This window comes from Homo sapiens, chromosome 4, assembly GCF_000001405.40.
Source record: "Homo sapiens chromosome 4, GRCh38.p14 Primary Assembly".
In the NCBI taxonomy this organism is placed as follows: Eukaryota; Metazoa; Chordata; class Mammalia; order Primates; family Hominidae; genus Homo; species Homo sapiens.
The window spans coordinates 138,161,056-138,183,127 of record NC_000004.12 but is presented as its reverse complement, the minus strand read 5'-3'; the positions used below and the strand labels follow the sequence as shown (position 1 = coordinate 138,183,127).

General features: G+C 35.6%; 1 protein-coding gene and 1 long non-coding RNA gene across 3 annotated transcripts in view; one reads left to right on the top strand and one right to left on the bottom strand.

Moving 5' to 3' along the window:
* SLC7A11 (solute carrier family 7 member 11) overlaps nt 1-19,031 on the top strand; it is a 78,253-nt gene extending 59,222 nt beyond the window's left edge. Inside the window, exons 9-12 of one of the 2 annotated variants that reach the window (NM_014331.4) lie at nt 735-831; nt 2,338-2,487; nt 3,734-3,911; nt 11,111-19,031. In NM_014331.4, coding sequence (NP_055146.1) covers nt 735-831; nt 2,338-2,487; nt 3,734-3,911; nt 11,111-11,172 — 487 coding nt within the window. In that variant the 3' untranslated portion in view covers nt 11,173-19,031. Of the gene's footprint in view, nt 1-734; nt 832-2,337; nt 2,488-3,733; nt 3,912-8,340; nt 10,784-11,110 lie in introns of those variants that run through there. The other variant, XM_011531802.4, reaches the window with a different exon arrangement.
* The window catches only part of SLC7A11-AS1 (SLC7A11 antisense RNA 1), an 89,164-nt gene continuing 72,042 nt past the window's right edge, over nt 4,951-22,072 (bottom strand). The window contains exons 4-7 of the long non-coding RNA NR_038380.1: nt 14,310-14,411; nt 11,422-11,595; nt 8,521-8,656; nt 4,951-7,467 (exon numbers count right to left, since the gene is read on the bottom strand). This is a non-coding gene — a long non-coding RNA (SLC7A11 antisense RNA 1). The remainder of the gene's footprint in view (nt 7,468-8,520; nt 8,657-11,421; nt 11,596-14,309; nt 14,412-22,072) is intronic.

The window sequence follows — 22,072 nt, the reverse complement described above, 5'->3', positions numbered from 1 at the left end:
GAAAAGAAATAGTGCCTCCAAACCTGTTGTTTTTAAAGGGACATGCAAGATTGAAATATTGGTCCAAGTATCAACAGCACGTTTTATTCTGTCCATTAGAGGGCACTGCTTGCCTATTAATAGCTTATTTGGAAGACGGACATGTGGCTTTTTTAAAAATAGTATTTCCACAGTCTAACAATGGCATTTTATTTCTGGTGATATAATTTTCTGTTTCTCTGAAGATGCCAAGAAAAAAGTAAAGTAAGAGACATCAGAAATCACCACCCCTACCATCAGTATTTCCTTTGTTTAGTTTGATGCAATAGTCTTTTTGTTTTAATATACGATTAAAAGCCAATCAGATAAATGTGAATGCTACATATAGGTGTGTGTACCTGTGGATGTGCATGTGTGTGTGTTTGTTGAATTGGATTGACAACACACATATAATACTAGGAATCTAGAACTAGATTTCCCATCAGCTATTTATATGTAGAGAGAGCTATGCTGAGTCAGATATTGCTATTCTTTCTCTTCAAAGAATAATATAATGTTGGCAGATTTTGTAAAATCCAAATTTAGATTTCCTATGATATTTCTCCACCTTATTTGAAAAGTGAACTTAGGCAATCACCTAAGGAATACCTGACCATTTGGTATGAAAAGATGCACGTTTTCTCTGGGATTTTTGGATTTTCCCTTTGAAATGATCAATCATACAGTCAACTCCACCCACATTTCTCTCCCATCAGGTTATTCTATGTTGCGTCTCGAGAGGGTCACCTTCCAGAAATCCTCTCCATGATTCATGTCCGCAAGCACACTCCTCTACCAGCTGTTATTGTTTTGGTAATGCATATTAACAAGTATATCTAGATATAACCTTGAATAATAGGTTAGCAAAAAGGAATTCCAACCAGACATTAGATAGTATTTTACTTTCTCATTCATTGCTAATGTATGTCATGGTGGAGTTTGGGAGGCAGGATATCTTCCATCTCTTCCCTTTACTCCATGTTTCTGATGCCTATTTTTTTTGATGCTTTGGGGCAAAAATCATCATCACCTCACTTTCATCTTTGCAGAAATGTGTAAGGTCTAAGGAAAATGATTGGCTTGGCTCCTCTCATTGACATAGCACCTCACAGAAAAGAATGTAGAGTATTAAGTCCCAATGACTTAAGGAAAGTAGAGCAAAAAGCTACAGTCCAAAAAGTACCCAGATGTATCATCTAGGCACCTTATAATGAAATGCACACAAAATTATTGAAACAATTGATAAAATCCTAGACAGTGCCATGATTCATTTGAGACATTTGAGAGCAAGTGTCTTTTATCCTGCAGGATAAAAATAAAAGCACCACGAGGTAAATTTGAGTTGTAAAATTCTTTCTGCAGAGCAAAGTGTGAAATGTGAGCTACAAAAGACTGTATGAGGTGTAAAAGTCCTCAAATACCCATTGGCAATGTTATATTCATTTTTACTGATGATTTTGTAACATTTCTCTCAACTGGAGTCTGTTGTCAGGAGCACCACAGAATGCACTGAACATTTTTTTTTCATGCATTTAATTTGTTTCAGAACGTTTCCTTGAAATTTCTTTTTAAAGTATGTGTACTCTCTGTGCAGAATCTGGATGTTAACGTCACTTGTGGGAACAGAATGTATTATTCCGTGAAGAGGGCTTTCATTTTAAGCCTCTGCTATCAGTCATGCTGTCCTTGGCATGTGCAGCTGCAGAGACTTGCTAAGCTGATCTCTGCGCTTCATTCTTCTCCGTGGTCTTGAGGGTCACACACGGCAAGCACACCAGGAGAGTAAATGTGGAGGAAAAAAGGTCAATGTTTTGCAATCAAGAGCCAACAGAATCACCTATGAGTGTCTGTGTTTCCTGGGTGTGGATAGCCAAGAGCTCACCGGAGAGCATTTGCAGAGCTTTCTGTAAATCTTCCAATTGGGCCTCTTTTACTGTTCATTATCGGTTATTTACTAATCATCTCAATCTTTGAGTCTTTCAATTTTGAGTCATTGAGTAACCTTTCTTTTACTCTTTGAAGACATACTATCTTCTCTCAAATGCAAAAGGAACTAAAAACACAACACAACATTCATATAGAATTCCACTTGAATAAAGTATAATGGCCATATCACTCTCATACTGTTACTGGTGTGTAAATGGATTATGACAACAGAATATAGAAAAGAGATTAGTCAAATCCAAGTTTTAACTATGATGATAATTTATCGGTATAAATAATTATTTGAAAAAGGTCGTAATGCATAGTGAGGTTTTTGTTGTTAATCATCTGTGTTTTCACTGAATTCACCAAGCTTGCTTCCCTTTCCCCCCTCAGCACCCTTTGACAATGATAATGCTCTTCTCTGGAGACCTCGACAGTCTTTTGAATTTCCTCAGTTTTGCCAGGTGGCTTTTTATTGGGCTGGCAGTTGCTGGGCTGATTTATCTTCGATACAAATGCCCAGATATGCATCGTCCTTTCAAGGTAACCTCAGCAATCTTGATGGGTTTACATAAATCTCTCTCCTAATACCTAGTCCTCCCTTTGTCATAACTTGCTGATGGGGAGGTTGGGCTGGGGGCAGCATCTGTGGAATAAAAATGTTTAACTCTTGCAGGCAGTGCTTTCCTGTTGGATTTATTTTAAGTTGGAAAAAAAACAGTGGATCCAATTTTTTATGTGATGGGCTTGAACTTTGTATGTCAAATTTTTGAAAAATGACTGTATGAATGAATGTTTGGTATGTTGATTTTTCATGAATGTGTTCAATGACCTGATATACTCAAAGTATGGGCTACTTCTGTCTGTCTTTATGCTAGAGTTGTGGACAGCCATGGTGAGGAGGAGTAAGGGAGATACTTTGTTAATGCCAATTCCAAAAAGGAATTTGCCTTTACAAAATAGGCATTTTAAGTACTTAAATGTTGTGACTTGTTACATTGCTCTTTCTCTATATTATACACTCCAAAAAGAATAGAAATGTAAAATATACAGGGAAAGAGAAGATCTACAAATTTACCACTTGATACCCATTTACCATAAGTAAGCATCTCCCTTTTGGAGGACTGGAGAAAAAGCTTGTCATCTTCTTCAGACTTGACTCATGGATTGATTTGACCTCACGATTTATTTGTTTTTAAGAAATGGCATAGATAAGGTTGTCAGTCATGTTGTCAGGATTTGTTTCTAGTAATATTCATTGCCTAATGCTGGTGGCATCTTTATTAGCGGTTGAATAGGAGTTGGCTTGTTTTATTCCTGTCAGTTATTATTGTGGATCTCAACAGAAAAATCAATATGCACTGAAAGACTTTAACATGTAACAAGCAGCCGGTGCTCTTGACTCCACATTAAAGTGGGTTCTAATCATAATTATCAAAGAGCCAGTCTTTTAAAATCAAAACCATAAATCATCATGGCATTTAACTAGTAAAATAATTCCAACAGAACATCTCTAATAAAGTATCCATTTTTGTCCTTAGAGTTTGTTCTAGCCAAAGATTTAAAAACAATTTAAATTAAGTTGAATTACATTTAAGGGAGTACGTTTAATACATTATCTGTGCACCATGAAAGAGATTTTGCTACTAAGGCACGTTGGTGCCTGTTACCTGGTCGCATGACTACAGCATATCACTAAAGTATATGTCATGACTGACACGCTCATCTCAAACCCAGCTTCTGTTGCTTGAACATGTTTGAAGTGACTTTTTTGTGTTCTGTGTTCCAGGTGCCACTGTTCATCCCAGCTTTGTTTTCCTTCACATGCCTCTTCATGGTTGCCCTTTCCCTCTATTCGGACCCATTTAGTACAGGGATTGGCTTCGTCATCACTCTGACTGGAGTCCCTGCGTATTATCTCTTTATTATATGGGACAAGAAACCCAGGTGGTTTAGAATAATGTCGGGTAAGAATTTTAAATACTTTCAGGACATTGTGCAACACCATGTAGAAAACCCATAAAGGTGTGCATACATAATATACTTAACATTTAAAAATGTAAGTGGCACAATTGATTTGAGAACATTATGGCATTTTAATTGGAACTGCTTTTTGGCAGGAAGGACATTTAGGGTACAGCCGTTGAATCCTTTTGGATATTAGTTTGGGCTGCTGTAATCACTTCTTAGGAGAAACAGCTTTGTTTTAGATGAAATTTTATCAGTAGTTCTCTAATCGACCTAATCTCTCTTTGAATCCTTTACTAACCTAATTATTTTCCTTCTAGTTTGAATGCAGTTTAGTGATTTTATATCATAATATGTAACTTGATGAGTGACACGAGATTTGTTGGGGAGTTAGGCAGTGGCCTGCAAATGCCTTAAACATTATGACTGTACGCTACCTTAAAAGGAAGGGTGACTCATGAAGGATTATAATAACAAGAACAATGGAGAGAACAATAGCAGCTTCCACATGTGAGTGCACATGTATGACTTCATTTAATTTTTTTTAAATTTTACTTTAAGTTCTGGAATAAACGTGCAGAACGTGCAGGTTTGTTACATAGGTATACATGTGCTATGGTGGGAATGTAAATTAGTTCAACCATTGTGGAAAAACAGTGTGGCAATTCTTCAAGAACCTAGAACCAGAAATATCATTTGACCCAGTAATCCCATTACTGGGTATATACCCAAAGGTTTATAAATCATTCTACTATAAAGACACATGCACACGTATGTTTATTGCAGCACTATTTACAATAGCAAAAACTTAGAACCAACCCAAATGCCCATCAATGATAGAATGGATAAGGAAAATGTGGCACATAAATATGATAGAATACTATGCAGCCATAAAAAAGAATGAGTTAATATCCTTTGCAGGGACATAGATGAAGCTGGAAGCCATTATTCTCAGCAAACTAACACAGGAACAGAAAAGCAAACAGCACATGTCCTCACTCATGAGTGGGAGTAGAACAATGAGGACACATGGACACAGGGAGAGGAACAAGACTTTATTTAATTCATATAATATCCTACTGAGGTAGGAAAATTATTATCCCCAGTTAATAGGCTTTGAATTATAGCATGAGAGAATTCAGGTCACTTGTTCCAAGTCATACAGATATAAAGTAGAATAGCTGAAAGTCAAACTCAGGCAGTTTTATATTTTAGGAGAATCACCCTGGGGGTTATGAGGATGGATTAAGATAGGTTGGGGCTGAAGACAGAATATTGACTTTGGTGGTTACTGCAGCAATCCTGATGAGAATTGAGGGGGATTCTGAAGACAGGCAGTATCAGCAGGGTCTGAGAGAAAGTGAAACATACTAAAAGGAAAAATCAGCAAGACTTGGTGACCAGTTAAACTGGGGGAGGAGAAAACATAGTAGATGACTAGGTAGGAAGGGTGCTTATGAATAGCCTGTGTTGAAAGCATATCTCTCTGTCAGAGGCTCTCCTGAGTCCTCTCCCCTACATGATCATCTCAAGCAATCCTCAACAAGGTTGATGTGTGAGGTGCTATTATTCCCAAGTCCAGATGAGAACACCAGAGCTCAGGAAAATGGAGAATTTATTTTTGAGTGTATGTATTTTAAACCATAGAACTAGGAATTGAACCCACATCTGCTGGACTTCTAAGTTCATGCTCTTTCTAGACTGGATCCCTTGTGGAAGTGGGGGGGGCGGAGAGAGAGAGAGAGAGAGGGAAAGAGAGAGACAGAGAGAGAGAGGGAGAGAGAGAGACAGAGAGAGAGAGAGAGATAGGTAGGTAACAAATATAGCCAGAAGGGCAGATCTATTCTCGCTGGTGAATGTGGTGAGTTTAGAACATAGCTTTCATACTTTTTCTTTGTTTTAATTTACTTACTTTACCATAATTAATTTTTTAAATTCCAGTTAAAAGTTTGGGGAGATTTCTGGTTAAATTATTAATAAATAATGCCAGTGTTACTAAAAAAACAAACAACCAAAAACCTTGATATGCATATTGAATCTCTAGTGTGCTGTGCAGACTCATTGAGAAGTCAGTCCTTTAAAGCAGAGTTTTATTAATACCTTTTATTAGCATTCAATTGGAATTTTGCATCTTTAGATCTTATACTAATATTTATATCTGGATTTTGTTTCCCCAAAGAAATGTTACTATACAAATGAGGTGCTTTATGGCTGACACAGGCACACTGATTGCCTTAACTGAGTATTTAATCTCTATTTCTTCTCAGATCACACTAGCTTTCTGTGGAATATTTTTAAGTTTTCTGTGTTCTAGACACTAAATATAGAGCCTGTTCTGAGGGAAAAGGGATCTTATTAAATACCATTTACCATTAGGGTTGCTTTATTCATTGCTAACATTTAGGATAGATTAGCACTCATCGCTGTGAAATCTGTCTGTCTCCCATACTAACCAAGACAGTTAAAACCCCTGAGCAGCACAGAAAATTAAGAGAATTGAGGAAGAAAGAGCTGGTGGTCCTAGAGTTAGACTAGAAGAAAGGGAGCATGATGAAAGAGCAAAGCCATTGTTCGATCCCACTTTAGCAGGCATTTTGTTCCTCCTGTTTGGAGTCAGCCAACTCTAATAGTTCTTTCCTCTTGCTAACAAGCACGTGTGTACTTTGTATTATTTCTTTGTCAGTTCATCTCAACAAGCGGTTTTCATGCTTGATCCTTCATTGATGTCTTTTGGTGTTCATGTAATTTTAAAGTTTGTTGCTATTTTTCTATCTCTAATGATGTTTTGAACATTTCCAAGGCCTCCAAATTTAGTGTTAGCCATTTGTGAAACTAGCAGCAATGGAGTAGTCCCATAATGGTTATTTGGTTCTCAAAAATGCCATTAAGTCTTACCAGGGAGCATGGCAATTCTGCTTTTAAACTGCGATCATTGTAACTCTTTATCTTTATAGCTGCCTTGAAAGTGAGTAGCAAAAAGCAACAGTCCTCCGTAATTTTGTTTGATTTTTCTCTGAGGCAGCATTCTTGTAGTAAAATAAAGAAAATTCATAATATTTATTGCTGCAATAGGAAGTATTTTCTTAGCCTTTGGCCAAAACAAAACACTCACACACAGACGCACAAACAACAAAATCCTGAAGCAGCGCCCTGTCCCTTCTCCCAACTACTCTATGATCATTTTGTTAGAGAGAAACTCAATGTGAACTTAGAGACCAAGAGCCTTTGCTTGGAGCAGTTTGTTCAATGATTTAATATCATGTTCTTTCATTAGGTAAAATTCCAAAACCTTTATATTATCATTTATTTTTACCCTGATAATGCATGAGTAGATCAGCCCTGTGAAAATGATAGTCTATCAAAATGCATTTTACCTAGGTTGTTTCCATGAAAAATGAGAGGTAACCAAATAGCACTCGGAAAATGGTGAAAGGCTGCTGAGAACTGACAGCCAGGGAATGTTCAGAATCCAAGGAGCTGAGATTTTCAGAGATTTGATAAATCTCTCCAGCCACAGGATGCCAGTATTGAACCACTTTTTGTTTGATAGCATTTCTAGGGAGAAAAGAAAACATGCTCTTAAGGGAATGGTGAGATACACGGAAAGCTTTTTTCTGCCATCTGTGACAGAGTGGTTTATTCTTCTGGTGGGTTAGTTATATTATTTATTTACTTATAGAAACACAAGCTTCTCACGCGAGGAAAAAGGGGCGGATACCCCAATGACATATGCAAATACACAAAGATAGCAAGACCTGGCAAACCTGGGCCAGGACTCACAGCAGCTGTTTTACTTGGCTGTCTCTATTTAGCAGCCAAACCTTGTCACGGGGTTGAGTGAGGTGACTGGAAGTGGGTCCCTCCTGCTCAGGGAGAGAGATAGAGGACAGCCTTATTTAAACAAAATCTTTGATTATAAAAAATCAGACTGGGAAACACCAGCAGAATGACTGTAATGCATCTTTGTGGACAGTGAGTTTGCAACTCCAGAGTCCTAAAAGCATATGCTGCATACAGTGGGTCAAGATAACTTCATTTATGTTAAATCACTGACAGCTGAATAATGCATTTAACAGACTGTTCACAAAGACTGCAGTGCAATATGTAAGTTAATTAAGCTTGCCTACATTTCTTAGGGGTCCAAACTATCTTCATTGTAAGAATAAAATGAGATCATGCTTGTGAAAATATTTGTAGCCTTAAAAAAATACTATTATTCTTATGAAGACTTCCAGAAAAAAAATGGCCTTGTGCCACATCACAAATGTGGCAATTTTTGCTGTAGTTCCCATATTGGTACCAGGTATGGTTGGGTAAATCAAATTTTGCAGGGTCAGTTGTTGTTTCAAATTATTTCAAGAATAACTACTGAACATGAAAGGTAAAGCTAAAAATACTACAACTGTTATTTGGTCCTGTACCTTACAGTTACTGAAAACACCAAATGCAGACTCATTAACACACCTTTATTTAAAGAAAGAGTACCGCGGGTTGATTATCCTTAAAGCCGAAAGACTTTTTCAACATGGATGTAGACATGACAGTTGAATGCCACATACTCTGCAGCTTTCCCCGGCAAGCAGGAAGCTTCCTTAAAGACATACTTGCCTCTCTTGAGCACTGCTGTCTGGTCCACTGCTGTAAGATAATCTAGAAGGAGAAGTTGCTGTGACTTCAACAGGTACTCATGGTCAAAATCAATTACTCTGCAGAAGCCTTCATTACGATGAAAGTCATTCAAATCCTGAGATTCCAAGAGAGATCACATAAGAAAGACACATTGGATATTGTCAACAGGGCTGATTAAACACAAAGGAAGAGGAAAGATAGCAGAAAGTGTGCAAAACCAGAAGAGAGATTCTATGGCCATGTGCTGCTACTGAATAACGGACCCAAACCAAGCTTTTAGGAAGGAGAATGACACATTAGGGAAGCAGCAGGATCTAAGTTGCTCCTCATTTGTCTGAATGGAGGCAATGTTATGACATGCGGAAGCAAGATGTCTAAGATAGCAGACATCTGGGGGTCCCTGAATATAGAGAAACATTTTTGGAAAAGGCTTTCATGTTGGGTGTGGAGGGCAGTCATGGAGATTAGTTCAGGAGGCTATGGGCAGGAGGATCTCTTTGGGGAGACAGGGCTGTAGATGATGTCTCTTTAACATCACTGCTTTACATCTGGCCATTGCAGATGCCTGAGATCTCTTGTTTTTCTGTTTGTTTTAAACTACTGTCACGTATCCCTAGCCCCTTCTCTGTCTAAGCTACATTTTCTTTACTATTTATTAATATTTCCTTTTCCCACAAATGCCTATTTTTATAGAATAAGTTTGTCATTTCCCTTTTCTGAAAATATGGGCTTTAATTGCTCTTGAGTGCTCCCTTATGCTGCACTTACATCTCAATGTAAAGAGTCGGCTGTGTAAAATACAGTTTATTTAGGAAACACTCAGAGTTTATAATTTACCGAGACTGTGCTGGGCCCTTTACAATTAATATAGACTGTAAAATTAGTGGGCTGAGGACAGTATCTTTGACAAACACAGAAGAAAAGGATGAAAAAAATACTTTTTTTTTTTTTTGAGATGGAGTTTCATTCTTGTTGCCCACGCTGGAGTGTAATGGTGCAATCTCGGCTTACAGCAACCTCTGCCTCCTGGGTTCAAGTGATTCTCCTGCCTCAGCCTCCTGAGTAGCTGGGAGTACAGGCATGCACCATCACACCCAGCTTATTTTGTATTTTTAGTAGAGATGGGGTTTCTCCATGTTAGTGGGGCTGGTCTCGAACTCCCAACCTCAGGTGATCCACCCACCTCAGCCTCCCAAAGTGCTGGGATTGCAGACATGAGCCACTGCACCCGGCCTGAAAAAAATACCTTTTAAAATGTCATTAAATATGGCTTGAAAGGAGCTATTACAGATAACAAGCCATGAATGAGGAGAAAGACTCTATGTCCAGATGAAAGACTATCTGGGCCTGAAACCATCAAGAGGTCAGGCTGTAAACAGCTCCAGGACTAGCAGGACATTGAAAAGGTTCTGTAGGAATTCATTACAAAGATAAGAAGCAAACTGGCTGGGCATGGTGGCTCACACCTGTAATCCCAGCACTTTGGGAGGTCGAGGCAGGCAAATCACTTGAGGCCAGGAGTTCAAGACCACCCAGACAAACATGGTGGAACCCCGTCTCTACTAAAAATACAAAATTAGCCGGATGTGGTGGCACATGCCTGTAATCCCAGCTACTTGGGAGGCTGAGGCAGGAGAATCGCGTGAATCTGGGAGGTGGAGGTTTCAGTGAGCCGAGATCGCACCATTGCACTCTAACCTGGGCAACGAGTGAAACTCCGCCTCAAAAAATCAAAACAAAACAAAAAAAGAGGCAAACAAGAACTAATGTCCCCAGAAACCAAGGTCATAGAGTTCTAGAACTGCTAAGATAAAATGACCTTAGAAATCATCTAGCTCAATGGTTCTGAAGGAAAAAAGGTAGACTTCCTTCTGAACACTGGAGCCAGCCTTTCTTGGGATGCCCTCAGTTCCTACATTTTTGTGTCTATCAGAATTACAGACTGCTAGGCCCCATCTTCAGTTTCTAATTGAGTAGGTCTAGGATCGAGCTTGAAAAGATGCATTTCTAGTATGGTAGTTGATGCTAATTTTGTTGGTCCAGGGACCGCACTTTGAGAATCACTGATTTAGTCTCTCATTCTACTGATTAGGCAAATTAGGCCCTAGGAGATAAGACAACATTCTCAATAACATGTTACAAGTTAGAGAATGAAAATTACATTCTGATTCTCCTCCAGATTCTTCTGAGGAACTGATTGTAATCTCATAGGTGCAAAAAGAATAAACCAATTTTAAACTGATATAAAGTGTATTTTTAAACATTTATTTATATATTGGTCCTACTGTTTCAAAATATTTTCACCCTTCTGGTCCATGAATAAAAATCCTTATTTGAATGCAAAATATTAATGTATTCTTGCTGAGAAGCCATCATGGGAAGTTACAGAAGTGACAAATAAATTAATTGAGCATGATAGAATTCTAATGAAGTAAATAATTCTTGAAAGTGCTCTATGAAGTAGACAGTTGTGTGTTTTTGGTATTCAACCCAAAATAATTCATATTTTGCTATTTTTAATGCATTTCTGATTTCCATGCATTTTTAATTCATTTTTATTTCTTTGTAGAGAAAATAACCAGAACATTACAAATAATACTGGAAGTTGTACCAGAAGAAGATAAGTTATGAACTAATGGACTTGAGATCTTGGCAATCTGCCCAAGGGGAGACACAAAATAGGGATTTTTACTTCATTTTCTGAAAGTCTAGAGAATTACAACTTTGGTGATAAACAAAAGGAGTCAGTTATTTTTATTCATATATTTTAGCATATTCGAACTAATTTCTAAGAAATTTAGTTATAACTCTATGTAGTTATAGAAAGTGAATATGCAGTTATTCTATGAGTCGCACAATTCTTGAGTCTCTGATACCTACCTATTGGGGTTAGGAGAAAAGACTAGACAATTACTATGTGGTCATTCTCTACAACATATGTTAGCACGGCAAAGAACCTTCAAATTGAAGACTGAGATTTTTCTGTATATATGGGTTTTGTAAAGATGGTTTTACACACTATAGATGTCTATACTGTGAAAAGTGTTTTCAATTCTGAAAAAAAGCATACATCATGATTATGGCAAAGAGGAGAGAAAGAAATTTATTTTACATTGACATTGCATTGCTTCCCCTTAGATACCAATTTAGATAACAAACACTCATGCTTTAATGGATTATACCCAGAGCACTTTGAACAAAGGTCAGTGGGGATTGTTGAATACATTAAAGAAGAGTTTCTAGGGGCTACTGTTTATGAGACACATCCAGGAGTTATGTTTAAGTAAAAATCCTTGAGAATTTATTATGTCAGATGTTTTTTCATTCATTATCAGGAAGTTTTAGTTATCTGTCATTTTTTTTTTTCACATCAGTTTGATCAGGAAAGTGTATAACACATCTTAGAGCAAGAGTTAGTTTGGTATTAAATCCTCATTAGAACAACCACCTGTTTCACTAATAACTTACCCCTGATGAGTCTATCTAAACATATGCATTTTAAGCCTTCAAATTACATTATCAACATGAGAGAAATCACCAACAAAGAAGATGTTCAAAATAATAGTCCCATATCTGTAATCATATCTACATGCAATGTTAGTAATTCTGAAGTTTTTTAAATTTATGGCTATTTTTACACGATGATGAATTTTGACAGTTTGTGCATTTTCTTTATACATTTTATATTCTTCTGTTAAAATATCTCTTCAGATGAAACTGTCCAGATTAATTAGGAAAAGGCATATATTAACATAAAAATTGCAAAAGAAATGTCGCTGTAAATAAGATTTACAACTGATGTTTCTAGAAAATTTCCACTTCTATATCTAGGCTTTGTCAGTAATTTCCACACCTTAATTATCATTCAACTTGCAAAAGAGACAACTGATAAGAAGAAAATTGAAATGAGAATCTGTGGATAAGTGTTTGTGTTCAGAAGATGTTGTTTTGCCAGTATTAGAAAATACTGTGAGCCGGGCATGGTGGCTTACATCTGTAATCCCAGCACTTTGGGAGGCTGAGGGGGTGGATCACCTGAGGTCGGGAGTTCTAGACCAGCCTGACCAACATGGAGAAACCCCATCTCTACTAAAAATACAAAATTAGCTGGGCATGGTGGCACATGCTGGTAATCTCAGCTATTGAGGAGGCTGAGGCAGGAGAATTGCTTGAACCCGGGAGGCGGAGGTTGCAGTGAGCCAAGATTGCACCACTGTACTCCAGCCTGGGTGACAAAGTCAGACTCCATCTCCAAAAAAAAAAGATTATATATATATATATATGTGTGTGTATGTGTGTGTGTGTGTGTGTGTGTATATATATATATATATATATACACACACACACACACACTTTTTATATATATATATATATATATATAGTGGAACTTACAAATGAGAGTAATATAATGATGAAATTTTGAACTGTTATTTATAAACATCTAAGGTAAAATGGTTAGTCATGGCCAGAGTATGTTTCATCCTTTAATTTTTGTCCATTTGAAAATAAGGATTTTTGAAAGAATTATACCAATTAAAATTATTAAAGGCAAACATAGAATTCATAAAAAATTGTCCAAAGTAGAAATGATGACCTATAATTTGGAGCATTTCCAATTCAGTAATTTCAATTTTGCTCTTGAAAACATTTAATATATATCCAAGACTGACATTTCTTTAGCTGAACCTAACGTTTGGGTCTCTGAGTGAATTTATAATAACTCCTTCCTTCCTTAGCATAGGGTTTTCAAAATTTGATTTATAATTCCTATTTCCAGTAAATATTGTTCATTTGTCCACATCTCTCCCTATGATATGTTGCTGGAGGTAAGAATTTCTTTCATATTCCTATTTTTTTTTTCCCCATAGACTAGGCTCATAGAATTTAAACAAGCAAATTTTCCTGAGCTTTTTCTTGCCAAATGAAAGAAGACTGGTAAATTCTCATAGAGAGGTTTGTGTAGTTCTTGGCTCTTCCTGGGGTTAATGTGCTTATATTCACAGTGGCAAATTGGTCTCAGACTTTAATTTATTTATTTTTGATTTGAATTTCTCTTTAAAAGTATCAATTTAAAAGGTAACTAGAATTATTCTTTCTCATTTTCAAAAGTGATTTTTGCATTATTAAATTTCCCTGCCATTGTAATGCCATTTCACGCAGAAAAAAAGTCAGCCAGTAATTAAGAAAAAAAGTGATGGAGATTAAGTAGTATTTTGGCTTATTTTTAGGACTCATCATGAGAAGACACAGTTCCTTTAATCAGGAAATTAATATCCATAATTTTCACTCAAAATTGCAGTATGTAAAGCAGATTCTCAAAAACTCTCCTGAACACTTATTTATATATATGTTTTTATATAAGTAAAATTTTTCTCATATTTTTATACGATATGCACACACACACATACATGCACATACTACTTACTACATGTTCTGTACTTGTACTTTGTACCATGCATATTCAAATGTTTATATACATAAGTTTATTATAACATAAACAGTAAAAGTAATGAATACTGTTTAAAATAACTAATATAGTATTTTTTAATTTTTGTGGGGATGGATTCTCAAATACTTGTGATTTTAAAAGATTCTAAAGCTAAAACACAACTTGATTTTAAAAAGAATGATTCTCCTTACACAATTATAAATATTTGCAGTAAATATTTTCCTTATAATACTGTTTTGACCCCATTTAAAAAGTATTAGATTATATTCCTTTGATCCAATGAAAACTGAACCTTATAAATGGTTAGCTGAAAGTAGACCTTATTCTTGTCCTTCTTTAGAAGAGTAAAGATTTGTCCTAGGGAAGATGGCTGACTTCGGTTCCCAACATGCGTATGCATTTAGACTGTAGCTCCTCAGCCCTGTGGACACAAAATTTGGACAGCTTATTAGGTTACGTTAGCAATGCATGACGGTTTCTCCAACACTAAGATATTCACGTTGAAACAGATTTCCTGTTCGTCTTATGTGTCTGGTAAAATTGTTTCCCCAATTACAATTTGACATATCAATAGAGGGTTAACAAGAGTATAATTACATAACAGAATTCCTCATGAACTGTAATCAGTCTACAGGAAAATCATTATTTTATCTTGATTTGCAGATGAATATACTGCTAAGAAAGGGAGCAACTCTGACCTTTGTTAAAGTTGATCTTTTGTAATTGAGGTATAAGGTATGAAAAGATAAAAAACCGAAGGCCAGAGAATCAGGAAATGAAAGATAGTATGGACTGAAGGTAACAATATTTTAATGTTATGCAATATAGTCAGAGAAATATTAAAAATTAGTTGTTTGCTGTGCATAGGTGGATCTCGCAGGAAGCTAATGAAACCTAAGCTTCAGTGCCTCTCACTTAGACATGTTCCATTCGAGGTCCTGAACCTAACTTTGTATTAGGAATTCTGTACTAATTTTGTTGAAGAAGACCAGCAAAGTTGTGTACACTTCTACCCCCACAAAATCTGCATTGTCCATGTGAGTAAAGTAAAATAATTCCTGTTATTTTTTTCTGTTAGAAATAAGTATGGAGGATATGTTTTTAAAAATTTATGAGTTAATTGAAATATCCATATATAACAAGTGACTTTCTCACAATATATATGATGTGATATATAGGGAGATAGTTTCACTTTCATCATATTTTATACGTTGATTCTGAACTATAGAAAAATAATAAATGGGATTTTAATTATAGCTCTTAGTTGGGAAAGAAATATAGAGAGATGTGGGATTTGAATGCCCATGAAAGACATTTTATTTTACTTGAATATATTCTTGCTTCACTTTACCCTCCATAATATGTTGTACATTAGTGCTGATCAAGTTTACAGAGTTACATTTTGCTTTCCTAACCATTCAGTCAGGAATTAAAATATGGCATTGTATAACAACTGGGAAGAAGCTCATAGTGGATATAAATTAGAGTAGATAATGGGTCACCTTGATAGCCTCTGTTTACATTACTTGTATATGGGCAAAATAATTATTACCTATACGTGTATTTAAGCTTAATTTTCATATAAACAGTATTTTTAATCTATGTTAAAATAGATAATATCTAAAAGTGTGATCTCTAGGTAGTCCTTAGTTTATTAGTACTGTACTTCAAAAAGATTTTTAAATAGGTCCGGCACGGTGGCTCATGCCTGTAATCCCAGCACTTTGGGAGGCTGAGGCGGGCGAATCACCTGAGGTCAGGAGTTCGAGATCAGCCTGGCCAACATGGTGAAACCCTGTCTCAACTAAAAATATAAAAATTAGCCGGGCGTGGTGGCAGGCGCCTGTAATCCCAGCTACTCGGGAGGCTGAGGCAGGAGAATCACTTGAACCCAAGGGGCAGAAGCTGCAGTTAGCCAAGATCGCATCATTGCACTCCAGCCTAGGGGACAAGAGCGCGAGACTTCATCTCAAAAAAAAAAAAAAAAAAAAAAAAAGATTTTTAAATAATAGCTAAAGGTATGCTCTCTAGGTCATCCTTAGTTTATTAGTACTGTACTTAAAAATTATTTTTTAATAGTCAATTTTGGGAGATAATTATTTCTTTCCTTATATTTTCCAATTAGTTGGTGTCTAAAAATAAATGTTTTGTCTAATTTTAGATCAGGTATACATTCACAAAAGCATAAATCATAGTCTCACAGGAAATTCACCAATTTTCCATATGTCGTGAGATAACTGTCCTTTCTACAACCTCATAACAATGAATTTATATAATTACCTAGATTTTCTTAGTGTGAATCTACCCATTAGTTTTATTTTCTTGGTAGTTATTTTTTTCCCTCCTCTCTGTTACTATTGGCCTTAAAATACACAGAGGACGGTTACAGTGTCCTAATAGCTGTTACATGTGTGTGTTTCAGCGTACTTGAATCAAGTGTACATTTATAGTACCAATAACCGCCTTTACAGCTTTACAGTTAACAATTCTCTCACAAAACTGTAGAGCATTAGGCATCTGAGAGCCATAGAGGGCCAACTTTGTTCCAGAGTGAACATGCTTTTTTTCCTCAACATATACACTACTGATTTTTTTTAAAAGTATGACTTTCAAGTGAATTAATGTATTGGTTAGGAGAACTGCTTGCTAAGTCCTTATTACCTCTTGTTAAAGCCTCAGAAGGCCGTGCTGAAAGCCAGAGGGGAAAAAAAGAGTAATGCACAGGTATCTCTTTTGCAGTGGTGACTGTATTTTGAGTACCTTGTGTGACAGGGTATTATTACAGCATCTTGTGGGAAAACCTATTAGGCCTTTGCATGTTAAAGCTGTATAATTTGTTGGGTTGTGAGTGGTCTGACTTAAATGTGTATTATAAAATTTAGACATCAAATTTTCCTACTAACTAACTTTATTAGATGCATACTTGGAAGCACAGTCATATCACACTGGGAGGCAATGCAATGTGGTTACCTGGTCCTAGGTTTGAACTGTCTTATTTCAAAAGATTTCTGAATTAATTTTTCCCTAGAATTTCTCCTTCATTCCAAAGTACAAACATACTTTGAAGAATGAAACAGATTGTTCCCATGAATGTATGCTCATACTCGACTAGAAACGATCTATGTTAAATGACTGTGTATATGAATTATTTCAAGTACTACCCCAAATAACTTTCTTATTGCTCTGAAAGAAGAAAAGCAATGTAAATCACTATGATTATTGCACAAACAACCAGAATTCTCCAACAATTTTAAGTAATCTGATCCTCTTCTTGGAGAAAATTGTTACCTAATAGTTTTTCCTTATGAATGTTATTACTACTGGTATAAATCAAATTTCTATAAATTTCCTACTTAAGTCTTAAGAACTGGGTTCTTCCTTTGATGTTATTCATGTTCAGAAAGGAAACAACACTTTACTCTTTTAGGACAATTCCTAGAATCTATAGTAGTATCAGGATATATTTTGCTTTAAAATATATTTTGGTTATTTTGAATACAGACATTGGCTCCAAATTTTCATCTTTGCACAATAGTATGACTTTTCACTAGAACTTCTCAACATTTGGGAACTTTGCAAATATGAGCATCATATGTGTTAAGGCTGTATCATTTAATGCTATGAGATACATTGTTTTCTCCCTATGCCAAACAGGTGAACAAACGTAGTTGTTTTTTACTGATACTAAATGTTGGCTACCTGTGATTTTATAGTATGCACATGTCAGAAAAAGGCAAGACAAATGGCCTCTTGTACTGAATACTTCGGCAAACTTATTGGGTCTTCATTTTCTGACAGACAGGATTTGACTCAATATTTGTAGAGCTTGCGTAGAATGGATTACATGGTAGTGATGCACTGGTAGAAATGGTTTTTAGTTATTGACTCAGAATTCATCTCAGGATGAATCTTTTATGTCTTTTTATTGTAAGCATATCTGAATTTACTTTATAAAGATGGTTTTAGAAAGCTTTGTCTAAAAATTTGGCCTAGGAATGGTAACTTCATTTTCAGTTGCCAAGGGGTAGAAAAATAATATGTGTGTTGTTATGTTTATGTTAACATATTATTAGGTACTATCTATGAATGTATTTAAATATTTTTCATATTCTGTGACAAGCATTTATAATTTGCAACAAGTGGAGTCCATTTAGCCCAGTGGGAAAGTCTTGGAACTCAGGTTACCCTTGAAGGATATGCTGGCAGCCATCTCTTTGATCTGTGCTTAAACTGTAATTTATAGACCAGCTAAATCCCTAACTTGGATCTGGAATGCATTAGTTATGACCTTGTACCATTCCCAGAATTTCAGGGGCATCGTGGGTTTGGTCTAGTGATTGAAAACACAAGAACAGAGAGATCCAGCTGAAAAAGAGTGATCCTCAATATCCTAACTAACTGGTCCTCAACTCAAGCAGAGTTTCTTCACTCTGGCACTGTGATCATGAAACTTAGTAGAGGGGATTGTGTGTATTTTATACAAATTTAATACAATGTCTTACATTGATAAAATTCTTAAAGAGCAAAACTGCATTTTATTTCTGCATCCACATTCCAATCATATTAGAACTAAGATATTTATCTATGAAGATATAAATGGTGCAGAGAGACTTTCATCTGTGGATTGCGTTGTTTCTTAGGGTTCCTAGCACTGATGCCTGCACAAGCATGTGATATGTGAAATAAAATGGATTCTTCTATAGCTAAATGAGTTCCCTCTGGGGAGAGTTCTGGTACTGCAATCACAATGCCAGATGGTGTTTATGGGCTATTTGTGTAAGTAAGTGGTAAGATGCTATGAAGTAAGTGTGTTTGTTTTCATCTTATGGAAACTCTTGATGCATGTGCTTTTGTATGGAATAAATTTTGGTGCAATATGATGTCATTCAACTTTGCATTGAATTGAATTTTGGTTGTATTTATATGTATTATACCTGTCACGCTTCTAGTTGCTTCAACCATTTTATAACCATTTTTGTACATATTTTACTTGAAAATATTTTAAATGGAAATTTAAATAAACATTTGATAGTTTACATAATAAATGTCGTCATGTTTTGCTTTCTTTTTAAGCAGTGTATATTCATTTAAATTGAAGGCCTTAGTTTTAATGATTGATTGAATTTATCTATTACTGATTCCCCAAATTTGTTGGAGCATCCCACTTTACACCAGTTTCCTGTACTAAAAACTGGAAGTGTTGGCAGACCCAGTCTCCTGGAAACACTCTTCTTTTCTTTCTCATGGTCTACATCCATCTGTCCTCTGGTCTGAAATATCTAGCTCCTCTTCTATTTCCACCTGTACAAGTTCAAAATCTTTTCATTTCAGGCCTTTAACAAGAATTTTGTCTTTTATCTCTTTACACTCTCAACTGTTTCCCCAGAATGTTCTTCCTGAAACTCAAATGAGGTCAAAATTTTCAATGGTTTCACATTTATATATATATATATATATATATTTTATTTTGTGGATGGATAAAATTCAAACTCCTCCATGTAACACATAGGGCTTTCCATCACCTGTCACCTTTCTTTCTCCAGCTTTCCACATTCTCGGCAGCCATATTAAATGTGTTCTCAGTGGTTCAATAGCAACAAAATATGATGCCATTATTTCTTTTTACACACTGAATACTCTTACAGGAATTAATTATATTTTCCTCCCCAACTCCCATCTCCTTATTCCACACACAGTTAACTTCTACCCAACATTTAAGTTCAAAAGTAACCTCTTCCAGAAGCCTTCCCCAAGTTGCTTTAAGACCTGACACCTGAACGCATTCATCATCTGGAGCACATCTTTTTTGTAGAACTCATTGAACACTGCTGTAATTGATTTACTGGACTCACTTTTCTGCCTGAATTTGCTGATTTTGTCTTTCGCCAACTGAAGCATAGTAGGTGCTCAATTAATATTTATTAAATGTATAATTTCAGTGCATGCATGAATAAATGACATTCATTAGGTTGCAGGGTTAGCTTTTTTATGATTAGCATAGAAGCAGGTTTTGTTACTCCTAAATTTAAGCAATCCATTAGCTTCTATGGAAACAGATTTTCTGTAAAAGCTACCTGCCAAACAAAAGCAAGCTGACTGGGAAGTTTGAGTCAGTCTCTCTTTTTCTCTACCACCACAGGTAGGTAGGTCCTGATGAGGGAAATACTCAGACAAATAGCCTATTATGAATTATTTAGGCCCCTACATTCTTGATACAGTATCATTTTCATATATCTTGACAAAAAATAATGGTCTGATATGTAGAGCAGAAAAAAAATCTAAATTTTTGATGACCAAATTTTACTTGGAAATAGACATGGGAGATTAAATAGCACTTTTCCTGGGGTAAAATGTTTTGGGAGAACAAGGAAAAAAGAAACCAACAACGTTGGCACCTATTAAATTTATACAGTTTTGAAAATAAATGCAATCCATGAGATATGTAGATATATTTATTTAAAAATTAATAAATATGACATGTATTGAATTAAAATATATAATGTCTAGTAATTAGTCTTTAAATTGTCATTAGGCTTTTAAACATGCTGGTTCAGGTTCAGATAGACTTTTGTAACTGGAATACATCTAAACATTTTTTCTTAAATTTTTAGGCAATGTCTAATTTATAAGGATTTGAGATGATTACACATGCTGAGACAAGCAGGCTTTGGGTGGGTAAGTGTACTGTTGCTTTTGTCTCCACATGCCCTAACAATTACATTTGCAGACTCCCTAGAGATCTGACTTTGAAAGTCAGGCCTGTTTTTTTGTTGTTGTTGTTTTTGTTCTTTTAATGTTCTTAAGCTTAAGAACACCTGGTCACTAGTGGGCAGTGGCTAAAACTATGATCTAGAAAACATTTGAGGTTTGAAAGAATTCAGAAGTAAAAATATAATTAGGATTCAATTCCTTCAAAATTTTAGCTTCTAACATTTATTAATCTCTGAAAGGCATAAAACAGGATTTTGGAGGTGTTAATGCAGGCTAAACACTACAAACATTGAAATAACTCTCCAGCTACGATAAAATAACTTAGTAAGTGTAAATGAAGATAACCCTAAGAGACATATGGGAAAGTTATTTTCCACTAGTTTTCATTTTTATTGAAAACAAGATAAACTAATTTTACTTTTGTGATGTAATTAACATTGTAACTGTATAACATATCATTATGATCATATGTTTTGTTTCCTAAAATCTAAGGACACCATAAAAATTTATTTCATGTTCGGAATGCTGCCTTCAGCTTACTTAATGTTCTCTTTTTAATTCTCACATTGCCATGTTCCTTTAATAATTTGTTACTCAATGATCTACAGTCAAAATTTAGTTCTTCGTTCATTAATTCAGCAAAAATTCACTCAGCACTTCCCGTATGACAAATCAATATTGTAAATGCAACAACTAACAGTTTAGATAGTGCCTCTGCCTCATGAACCTACCGTCTAGTTGGGGGGAGAGATGCTTTTTCTTAATCAGTCAAATGTGTAGTCACAAATTAGGATTAGTCTCAGGTGCTGTAAGACAGTACAGCCAGGTGGATGTGATCTGGTCTGGGATGTTGGCAAAGGCTTTCCTGAAGATGTAGTATGAGTTGCTATTGAAGGATGAGTGCACATTAACGAGATAAGAGGAGGCAGGGTGAGGAGTGTTACAGGCCAAGTGAATGATGTGACAATAGCTCTAAGCCAGAATAAAATAAGCAAGGCTTGTTTAAGAAAACAAATGAAAGACCAGCACAACTAGAGTATAGGAGCAAAGTACAGAATTCACTCTAGGAGAAGCAAGTGTAGAGCACTTATTAGGCAATATTCTAGATTTCAGTATTTACCAATATAATGGAGATAGCATAGGCAAGTGAAATATGTACATATAATATAAACAGTGAACTTTATCAAAATTTCAAATATTTCCTTCTCACATGTACATAGAATTTTTTTAAATAGTAAAAAAAAAGGTTTGAGTTTTATTTATTTTTTAAAAAATCTTATATTTTACCTTTGTAAACTGCAATGGGCTTAAGACACATATTTGGAAAGAGAAAATAATTGGAGGAATTATATAATTAAGAAATGTGGGAAA